The 11,802-nt window shown below is 39.2% G+C and overlaps 1 long non-coding RNA gene across 1 annotated transcript; it reads left to right on the top strand.

Annotated features, from left to right (window-relative positions):
* The first annotated feature begins 4,005 nt into the window (after positions 1-4,005).
* LOC105369963 (uncharacterized) lies at positions 4,006-8,688 on the top strand. The gene is made up of 4 exons (XR_945316.2): positions 4,006-4,280; positions 4,464-4,568; positions 7,659-7,770; positions 8,589-8,688. It is a non-coding gene; the product is annotated as an uncharacterized LOC105369963 (long non-coding RNA).
* The last annotated feature ends 3,114 nt before the right edge of the window (positions 8,689-11,802 follow it).

Genomic DNA, 11,802 nt, shown 5'->3' with positions numbered 1-11,802 from the left:
TGATTCCATAAACGTAGCTTTTGTGAATGATGCTGCAAGAAACCTAGGAAGGCAGATTTCAGAAAATACAGATTTCATTTATTTTGAATGTATACCCAGAAGGGAGATGGCTAAATCATATGGTATATGTATTTTCAATTCTTTGAGGAACCTGTAACTCTTTTCCACAGTTTACTAATATTCATTCCCACCTACAGGGTATGAGCACCCCTTTCTCCAAATCCACACCATAATTCTTATTTTTAGAAACCTTCATTCATTTAGCAATATTTATTTCAATAATAGTGAAATATTATCTGAATGTGGTTGTTAATTACATTTGTGGAATTAATAGTGATATTGAGGTCCTTTTCTTTTACCTGTTGGTCAGCTTTGTATGTGTGTGTGTTTATTTGTTTGTTTTTTCAAAGTGGTCTATTCAGTTTCCTTGCCAAATATTAGATTTTTTTTTTTTTTTTTTTTTTTTTTTTTTGCCACTGCATAGCGTTTCTTTCTGTATACAGGTTCCAGAAGAACTCCTGTGAGTTATATACTTGCCTGAAATTTTGGCCCATTCTTTGGGATGCTTTTTTATTTGGAAGATAGTTTTCTTTGCTGTGCAGAAACTTTTCAGTTTGATGTAGTCTAACATGTTTATTTTTACATTTGATACATGTGATTTTGGTCACCAATTAAAAAATATATCAGTGTCAAAGCATCCCATTGACAATGAGTTTCCCCCCTGACCCCGCCAACTTCAGGATGTTTTTTGTGTTTCTTTTCCATTTTTCCAGGTTGAACACAGATTCACGTAGCCCAAAGTATACATTCAACCTATGTTCCTGTTAAAGGTATTTTATTGTTTAAGGTCTTGTGTTTTGGTCTTAGATCTTTTTTGGGTTGAATTTTGTACATCATGTAAAATAAGGGTTCTTTTTCTCTCTTCTGCATATGGATATAATTTTTCTCATAGTCATTTATTGAGCAGACTCTGCCTTTTACATTATGTCTTTGCAGTGTTCCTTGTGAAAGTCAGTTGACTATACATTTGGGTTGATTATTTGCCTGTTTGTTTGTTTGTTTTTTGCCCATGGCTGTAGGTTTTTGCTTTTATGCAAGTATCACATATTTTGCATAACTATAGATTTGCAATGTAATTTGATATCAGAGATTGTCCTCATACTTTCATTGTACTTCTCAAGATTCCTTTAGATATTCAGAGCTTTTGTGAATCCCTGTGATTTTTAGCAACTGGTATTCACTTATGTTAACTTTTGCTTTTTTTAACATCACAAAGGTCCACAATAAGGGGGTATGCTGGTACATTTTGATAAATGTATACATTGGGTAACGATCAAACCAGGGTGCTTAACATCTCTATTCTTTCATACAGGTATTAATTTTGGGTAGAAAGAACATTCAAAATCCTCCCTTCATTTATCCCTTACATTTATCATAATGTTTTCCAGGTTGATCTGTGTTGCTCCAAATGACATAATGCTATTAGTTTGATGGCTGAAGAGTATTCTTTGTGTATATATACTAGAATTTCTCAATCCTTTCATCTGTGGATGATCAGGTATCCTGGCTTTTGTGAATGGTGCTAGAAGAAACACTGGAAGGCAGCTGACTCTCAAAAATACAGATTTCATTTGTTTTGAATATATACCCATTAGTGGGACTGTTAGATGGTATGGTATTTGTAGTTTCCATTCTTTGTGGAACCTCCAACTGTTTTTCATAGTGTGAACACTAATTTACATTCCCATGAACAGTTCCCCTTTCTGGAAATCCCCACCAGCATTTGTCTTTTGTAGTATTTTTATCTTTTTGTAACATTCATTCCAGTTAGAATGAGATAAATCTGAGTGTGGTTTTGATCCACATTTTTCTCATGATCAGTAATGTTAACCACATTTTTGTAAACATTGGGTTAGTTTCATGTCTTCTTTGCACAAATGTCTATTCAGGTTCTTTGCCCAATTTTGTTTTGGTTATTTTCTGTTGTTTTGGGTTTTGCCAGCTTGTATTGCTACTGGCTTGTGCCTTTTCAAAAACAACCCCTTATCAGCTGTATGTTTTTCCAAACTTCTCTAATAATTTTTAAGATGCTTTTAAATTTTCCTCATTGTTTCCTTTGTTGGACACAAACTCTTAAGTTTGATGTGGTCCCACATGTGTATAATTTCTCAGTTGCCTGTGATGTTGGTTCCTAATTTAAAAAAACCCAAAATCACTACCAAAGTATTCCATGATTTTTTTTTCTTTTTTTGTTACTTCTTGCAAACTTGGAGCATACATCCAAGTTGCCCTAGATTTTCCTTTTTTTTTTTTTTGAGACAGAGTCTCACTCTGTAGGCCAGGCTGGAGTGCAGTGGCACAATCTCAACTCACCACAGCCTGGGTTCAAGTTATTCTCCTGCCTCAGCCTCCCGAGTAGCTGAGATTACAGGTGCATGCCACGATGTCTGCTAAATTTTGTGTTTTTAGTAGAGACAGGGTTTCACCATGTTGACCAGGCTGGTCTTGAACTCCTGACTTCAGGTGATCCGCCCGCCTCTGCCTCCCAAAGTGCTGGGATTACAGGCATGAGCCACCGCACCAGGCCCCTAGATTTTCTTTATAGGAGCTTTATGATTGCAAGTTTTGTGTATTATCTGCCATCCATATTGAGTTGATTATTGTGTATTTAGCTCCATAAGGGTCCTATATCATTCTTTTGCATATGGATATCTAGTTTTGAAAACCATTATAGAACAGACTCTCTCATCCTCATTGTGTCATTTTGGTGTTGTTTTTTAAAATGTGTTCACTATAAATAAATTTGTGTTTATTATTAAGCTCTCTCATTTTACTATTTGGTGTGTGTTTCTGTGCACATGCCAGTAACATATGGGTTGGATAAGTGTAGCTTTTCCGTGTAATTAGAAATCAGGGAGAGTGATGCATCCCCTGTGGCTTGTATTTCTCAGGATAGCTTTGGAAATTTAGGGTGTTTCATGTTTCCATATAAATTTTGCCATCGTTTGTTTACATTTCTTTTAAAAAACTACTTGTCACATATTAAATGTATATAGAGTGTACAAGAGCATTTTAATATATGTGTACATTGTGTAATGATCAAATCAGGTTATTTAGCATCTCTTTATTTAATATAGTTATTAATACTTTGTGGCAAAAACATTGAAAACCCTTTCTTCTAGCTATTTTGAAAAATACGGTACAGTACTGTTAACCCTAGTCTGTGGGCGGCAAGCCACCCAGGTGCCGAGGCAAGAGACCAAGGACACGAGCTGTTTCAGTATGATAAAATATAAAATATGAATAGTTATACCAGATATAGATCTTAGATATGATTATATATGAATATAATTAATCATTAGTTTGTAGCAATTACTCTTTATTCCAATATTATAATAATCCTTGCTCTATAATCATAATCTAGGAAAAACCAGGCCATACAGAGATAGGAGCTGAGGGGACATAGTGAGGAGTGACCAGAAGACAAGAGTGTGAGCCTTCTGTTATGCCCAGACAGGGCGACCAGAGGGCTCCTTGGTGTAGTGGTAATGCCAGCGTCTGGGAAGACGCTCGTTGCCAAGCATACCGTGGTCTAGCGGTAGCGTAAGCGTCAAGGAAAAACATCCACTACTTAGCAGACTGGGAAAGGGAGTCTCCCTTTCCCCGGGGGAGTTTAGAGAAGACTCTACTCCTCCAACTCTTGTGGAGGGCCTGACATTAGTCAGACTCGCCTGCAGTTATCAGGAGGCCTAACTGTCTCCCTGTGATGCTGTGCTTCAGTGGTCACGCTCCTAGTCCGCCTTCATGTTCCATCCTGTACACCAGGCTCTGCCTTTTAGATAGCAGTAGCAAATTAGTGAAAGTATTAAAAGTCTCTAGTAAGCAGAAATAATGGCATAAGCTGTCTCTCTCTCTCTCTCTGTCTCGTCTCTCTCTCTGCCTCAGCTGTCAGGCAGGGAAGGGCCCCCTGTCCAGTGGACATGTGACTCACGTGGCCTTACCTATCATTGGAGGTGGCTCACTCTCCTTATCCTGCCCCTTTGTCTTGTATCCAGTAAATATCAGTGCAGCCTGGCATTCGGGGCCACTACTGGTCTCCGTGACTTGGTGGTAGTGGTCCCCTGGGCCTAGCTGCCTTTTCTTTTATCTCTTTGTCTTGTGTCTTTATTTCTACACTCTCTCATCTCCGCACACGGGGAGAGACCCACCGACCCTGTGGGGCTGGTGCCTACACTAGTCATCCTGTTGTGGAATAGAACAGGAGAATTTATTCCTCTCAGGTAAGTGTAACTTTGTATCCATTTGCAATCCCTGTCTAGTGCCCCCTGCCCCCAAGCCTCTGGTATCCACCATTAAACTTTGTACTTCTACAAGATAAAGTTGTTTAGATTGCACATGTGTGAGATCATGCCACGTTTGTGTTTCTCTGCCTGGCTCATTTCATTTAACATCATGCCTTCCAGGTCTCTCCATGTGGCTGCAGATAACGTGATTTTGCGAATTTCTATGGCTGAAGAAGATTCCATTGTGCACTGCAGTTTCTTATCCTTTCATCTGTGTATGGACAAGTAGGTTGATTCCATATCTTGGCTACTGTAAATAGTGCTTTGGTCACCATGCAAAGGCTGATAGTTCTCCAAAATACACATTTCAAGTGCTTTCAGTGTATATTCAGGGGTAGGATTGCTACACTAAAGAGCAGTTGTATTTTTTTTTTCTTTTTAGAGGAAACTGCAACTGTTTTTTATAGTGTACATAGTAATATACAGTCTGATTAGTAGTGTTGAAAGGTTTATTTCTCTGCAAATCTACATTGGCCATTACCTATAAACATTTTGAGGGGGGTTGTTTTAGGTAGGATTCATTCTAAGTGGATCGAGACCCCATCTGAATGTGGTTTGGACTTACCTTTGTGGGAGAAATGATGAAGTTGAGCAACTTCTTTTTGACTCCTTAGTCAATTCATGTCATCTTTTCAGAAATGTCTATTAAGGGCCTTTGCCCATTTTTAGCTTTGGTATTAGTGGATTTTTTTGTTTGTTTTGTTTTTTTCAAACACAGTGGTTTTAGTTTCTGGGACATGTTAGATAACAACCACTTTCAGAGATACAGTTTTTCAGATCTGTCTCCAACTCTGCAGGACATCTTCTCTTTCAGTTCATTGGTTTCATTCCAGTGGAACACATCTAAAGGTTTCCATAGTCCTACATGTTTATATTTGCATGTGTTCATGGTGTTTGGGTGTTCCATCACAAAAAAAAAAGGAAAAAAGATTGCATTGTCTATGGGTTTCTTCCTCCTACTTTTCCCTTTTGTTTTCTTTCCTTTTGGCAATCTGTGTGCATAGATTCAGGTTTACTGAAGTAAATGCTCACCCTGTTTTCTTCTAGGAGTTTTGTGTTTTCAGGTTTGGGTGGAGATCTTTAATATACTTTGCATTGGTTTTTGTGTCCTGTGTAATGTGAGGGCCCATTTCACTGTTTTGCAGGTAGAAATCCATTTTACTCAAAGACTATTACAGAGCAAACTTCTCTCTTCACTGTTGTGATATTTGGTGTTCTCTTGAAAAATGCGTTCACCATATGTAATTTTGGGCTGCATTTTTTGGCTTTCTCATTTTGTCCATAGGTTAATCTTTCTGCGTGTTTGCCAGAAAAGGATTGTTTGGATAACTACAGGTTTTTCTTATTTTTTTTTGTTTATACAGCTCCTAAGCTTGTTCTTTGTGTGTGTGTGTGTAATAATTTCTACTTTTATTATAGACTAAAGGGTACACACACAGGTTAATTACATCTGTTGACTGCATGACACTGGGGCTTGGGGTCCCAACAACCCCATGACCCAGGCAGTGAGCAGAGGACCCACAAGGTGGGTCTTCAGCATATAATGCCCCCTCTCTCTCATTGTTTTTGTGGGGGTCCAGTAGTCACTCTCACTGTCTGTTGTTGCCTTCTTTATGTTCAGGTACATTCATAGTTTAGTTTCCACTTACAAGTGAGAATGTGTGGCATTTGGATGTCTGTTCTGGCTGTAGTTCACTTAGGATAATGGCCTGCAGCTGCCAAAGATGTGATTGTCTTTTTTTGCGGCTGTTTAGTGTTTTATGGTATATACGTATCACATCTTTATCTTATGCACTGTTGATGGGCACCTAGGTTGATTCCATTTATTTGCCCTTGTGCATGACACTGCTGTGAACATAAAAGTGCCTGTGTCTTTTGGACAGAAGGATGCATTTTCCTTTGGGTAGATCCCTAGGAGCGGGATTGCTGGGTCAGATGGTAGTTCTAAGTTCTTTGAGAAATCTCCAAACTGCTTTCCACAGTGTCTGTACTAGTTTGCATCCCCACCTAGACCACATCAGTGTTTCCTTTCCTTGGCTGCCTTGCCAGGGTCTGTTCTTTGTCTGCACAGTCATTGCCATTCTGAGTGGTGTGGGATGGTATCTCAACCTGCTTTTGACTTCCATTTCTCTCTTAATGAGTGAGTTTGAGCATGTTTTCCTCTTTGTTGGTTGCTTGCACATTGTCTTTTGAGAAGTGTGTGTTCACGTCCCTTGCCCATTTATTAATGGGTTTTTTTGTTTGTTTGTTTTTGCTGAATGATTTGCAAGGGTCCTTGAAGATTCTGGATATTAGACCTTGGTCAGATGCAGTTTGGGAACATGTTCTCCCACTCTGTAGGCTATCTGTTTGTTGCTAATTTCTTTTGCTGTGTGGAAGCTCTTTACAGTATTAGGTCTGACATGTCAATTTTTGTTGCCATTGCTTTTGGGGACGTAGCCACATAGATTCTTTGCCAAAACCTATGTGAAGAAAGGTATTTTGTATGTTTTCTTGCAGGATTTTAATAGTTTGAGGTCTTCCATTTAGATCTTTTATTCATCTGGAGTTCCTTTTTGTGTCTGGCGAGAGGTCGGGACCCAGTGTTTCTCTTCCACCCATGACTAGCCACTTATCCCACCATCATTGATTGAATAGGGCATCTTTTCCCCCTTGCTTATTGTTGTGGATTCTGTAGAGGATCAGTCGGGTGTGTGAGTTTACCTCTTGGTCCTCTCTCGTGTTCCACTGCTCTGTGTGGAAGCGGGTCTCTAACTTTTCCATAAAATTTGAAATCGGTGGGTGAGATGCATCTCACATAGTCTGGATGTCTCAGGATTGCTTTGGAAGAAATTCAGGGTGTTTCATGGTTCCACGTGAATTTTAGCATCATGTATTTAAGTTTCTTTAAACAAATTTGCCGAATAGCAAAGGAATACAATGAGAGGGTAGAGTGCAATGTTTTGGTCTTTCCTTACATTGTAGAATGAGGAAATCAGGGTATTTAGTGTCTCTGTTATTTTGTACCATTGTTTATTCTTTTGTGGCAAGAAGCTTCAGTATCCTCCTTTCAAGCTATTTTGAAGATGCAACCATACTGTTAACCCTGGTTACCCTGCTGTGGAATAGAAGAACAGGATTTCTTTCCTCTCATCTGTGTGGAACTTTGTACCCTTTTCTAATCCCTACTCACTCCCCCTCTTCCCTCCAACCTCTGATAACCACTGCTATGCTTTCCAGGTCTTTGAGATACAGTTTCTCAGCTTCTGCATGAGTGAAAGGATGCAAAGTTTATCTTTCTTCCTGGCTCATTTCATTTACCTTCATGTCCTCCAGGTGTAACCGTGTGGCTCCCATGATGGGATTTCATTGTGTTCTTCTGGCTGAAGAGTATTCCAGTGTCTGCATGTGGGACAGCTTCTCTCTCCCTTCATCTGCAGATGGACAGGTAGGTAGGCTGATTTCTTATCTTGGCTAGTCTGCATAGTGCTGGATTCCACCTGCGAATGCAGATAATCTCTTCCATGTCTTGATTTCATGTGCTGTGTATATATACCTAGTAGTTGAATTGCTGGATGAAATGGTAGTTGTCGTTTTAAGGTTTGGAGAAAACTCCAAGTGGTTTTTTCAGTGTGTATACTAGCTTATGTTTCCACGAACTGTGGAGACAAGTTCCTCCTTTGTGGAAAACCCACACATCATTGTTTTGTCTTTTAATATTTTTCAACTTTTTTTGTAGTATCCAGTCCATCTAGAGTGAGATGGAATATGAGTGGTGGTTTTGATTTTGTGTGTGTATGTGTGATTAGTTACATTTGCCAAGTTATTGTTTTTGTTTTTTGGGTTTTTTTGAGATGGAGTCTCACTCTGTCACCCAGGCTGGAGTGCAGTGGCATGATCTTGGCTCACTGAAACCTCTGCTTCCTGAGTTCAAGCTATTCTCCTGCCTCAGCCTCCCGAGTAGCTGGGACTGCAGGCACCAACCACCATGCCCAGCTAATTTTTGTATTTTGAGTAGAGACAGGGTTTTATTATGTTGGCCAGGCTGGTCTGGAACTCCTGACCTCAAGTGATCTGCCCGCCTTGGCCTCCCAAAGTGCTGGGATTACAAGTGTGAGCCACTGTATGCGGCCCACTATTGAACTTTCTACTGCTAAGAGATAAAGTTGTTTAGAGATAAAGTTGATCTCATTCTCACATGAATGAGGTCATGCAGTGTTTGTCTTTCTCTATCTGGTTCATTTCCTTTAATGTCACATCCCCCAGGTTTCTGCACGTTGATGCAGATGACATGATTTCATGAATTTCTATGGCTGAAGAGAATTCCATTGTGTACTGTGGTTTCTGTGTTGCTTCATCTGTGGATGAACAGGTAGGTTGATTCCATGTCTTTGCTATTGTGAACAGTGCTTCAGTCATCATAGGAAGCCCGATATCTCTTCAACATAACAGATTTCATGTGCTTTCAGTGAATAACCAGTGGTGGGATTGCTATATGAAAGGGTAGTTGTAATTTTAAATTTTTGAGGTAACTTCAACTGTTTTGCATCATGTGTACAGTAATGTACATTCCCATCAATAGTGTATAAAAGTTTCTTTTGGCTGGGTGTGGTGACTCATGCCTGTAATCCCAGCACTTTGGGAAGCCGAGGTGGGCGAACTCCTAAGGGCAGGAGTTCGAGACCAGCCTGGCCAACATGGCGAAAGCCCATCTTTACTAAAAATACAAAAATTAGCCAGGTGTGGGGGCACATGCCTGTAGTCCCAGCTACTCGGGAGACTGAGGCAGGAGAATCACTTGAACCTGGGAGGCAGAGGTTGCAGTGAGCCAAGATCATGCCACTGCACTCCAGCCTGGGTGACAGAGCAAGACTCCATCTCAAAAAAAAAAAAAAGAAAGTTTCTTTTTCTCCAAATCTACATTGGCCATTGCCTGTGAACATATGGGGATTTTTTGTTGGTTTTGTTAAGTTTCTTTCTAAGTAGAGTGAGAGGTGTCTGAGTGTGGTTTGCACTTATACATTTGTGTGAGGATTAGTGAAGCTGAGCAATTTGTCTTTGACTTGTTAGTCAATTTCAAGTTTTCTTTTCAGATACACCTTTTCAGGTTTTTTGCCCAGTGTTGGATTGGGTATTAGGTTTTGTTCATTTTCCCAGTTATAGTAGTACATTCTACTATATAGTAGTATATTATTGTGCATGTTAGATAACAACCCTTTTCACAGATATGATTTTGCCAAACCTTCTTTCAATCTGTAGGATGCCTTCTGTTATGACTGTTTTTCTTCCCCATGCAGAAGCTCTAAAATTTTGTATAGTCCCCATGTGTTTGTATTTGCATTTGTTAGCAGTGATTTTTGTGTCCCATCAAAAAAAAAAAAAGAAAGAAAGAAAAGAAAAAAGAAAAAAAAAAGAGGGGAATGTTCACTTTTCCTCCCTGCAGAGGTGGCAGTGAGCCGAGATCGCACCATTGCACTCCAACCTGGGTGACGAGTGAAACTCCATCTCAGCAACAACAACAACAACAAAAAAACAGCCTTAAAGATTATTGGTAAAATGTAAATTTTTGGCTGGGCATGGTGGCTCACACCTGTAATCCTAGCACTTTGGGAGGCTGAGGCGGGTGGATTGCCTGAGCTCAGGAGTTCGAGACCAGCCTGGGCAACATGGTGAAACATGTCTCTGCTAAAAATATAAAAAATTAGCTGGGCATGGTGATGCATGCCTGTAGTCCCAGCTACTTGGGAAGCTGAGGCACAAGAATCACTTGAACTGGGGAGGCAGAGGTTGTAGTGAGCCAAGATTGTACCACTGCACTCCAGCTTGGGTGACAGAGTGAGATACTTGAAAAAAAAAATGAAAATTTTTGCCTAGGGTTAAAGGATTGTTTTGAATTAGATAAGATAAAGCTAAAAGTTCAAACAAGTTGTGGAAGGATTATAAAAATTAATCTTGCAAAAGAAATTCCATGTATGGGGCCAGGCACAGTGGCTCATGCCTATAATCCCAGCACTTTGGGAGGCCGAGGCGGGCAGATCTCTTGAGTTCAGGAGATGGAGACCAGCCTGGCCAACATGGCAAAACCTCGTCTCTACTAAAAATACAAAACTTAGCCAGGCATGATTGCACATGCCTGTAATCCCAGCTACTCAGGAGGCTGAGGCATGAGAATCCCTTGAACCCAGGCAGTGGAGGTTGTAGTGAGCCAAGATCACACCATTGCACTCCAGCCTGGGCAACAGAGCAAGACTCTGTCTCAAAAAAAAAGAAAGAAAGAGAGAGAGAGAGAGAAAGAGAGAAAGAAAGAAAGAAAGAAAGAAAGAAAGAAAGAAAGAAAGAAAGAAAGAAAGAAAGAAAGGAAAGAAAGAAAGAAAAGAAATCTCATGTGTGAACATATTTACTAATTCAAAAGGGTATTATATCATTTTTCTGTAAATTGAGCATTGAAATAAAAGCACAATAAGGTACTCTTAAAGCACTTATCTGCTCTTTAGCAAAATTTGTAAAGGGTTATAAAAGGTTTTTGCTTTTTTAAAATTTCTGAGTCGTCATTTTGGCAAAATAAATAACTTAAGGTAATCTGGAATTCTGTTTTATAACATGAAGTATTTTAAACTTCTAACATATTTAACAGGCTTCCTAAAATCAAACTTCAGTTTCAAAATCATTTTTCCTGACACCTGGATATTGAATGCTACAGCAGGCCCTTGGAACATCCAGAAGAGAGGTAAACAGGATCACCTGACATGTTTAGGTACATGGGATTGCCAAAATGATGTTTAATCTTCTTCAGCTTATATTTTAGGGAATAATATAAATATTTGCTCCAAAATTGTATGGGATTTCTAAAATTTTAATGTCTGAGTATATGCTATCAGGCACAATTAAGGATGTTATGTTAAGTTATTGTAAACCACGGAGATAACCAAATTACTCTGTCAATCATGTTTATGACTGTAACTACCCTGGACATTTTGTTATTCACAGACAATTGTCTTGTTTTGATTCTCTTCAAAAGATGGTTTATAATCAACTATAGAAATTTGACAGATGCTCTCAAATGCAGGTTTCTGATAACTTTGGAGATTATGGCATTGGAATAAAGTAAAAACATACAGGACTCATGAAGAGCTGAAATCCTCACAAATATCAAGCAAAATAAGAGTTAACCAAATGGACTGAACTAGCAGAAAACTGAAGTAATCTTCTGACTTTTGCTTGGAACATTGCTGATCTTTGTCTTGTTTTTCAGAGTCAAGGAAACTTATTTTGAGTTATTTATGGCCTTTAATAATTGAGTAAGGTATATTCCTGTGAATAAAATTTTGAGCATATTTGTCTTTCTCTCTCTGCCTGGCTTCTCCAGAATTTAGAAACTAGTTGTGAGTATTCCTAACTTATGGCAATATAGTTGTTTGCATCTGTGCAACAAGAATCCATTTTCTTTTGCAACAGACAAATGAGTTGTTTTACCAAGGCT

The sequence above is a fragment of the Homo sapiens genome, chromosome 12 (genome assembly GCF_000001405.40).
Source record: "Homo sapiens chromosome 12, GRCh38.p14 Primary Assembly".
NCBI classification, from domain to species: domain Eukaryota; kingdom Metazoa; phylum Chordata; class Mammalia; order Primates; family Hominidae; genus Homo; species Homo sapiens.
The sequence above is the reverse complement of the archived record's forward strand: the minus strand, read 5'-3'. Positions and strand labels throughout refer to the sequence as shown.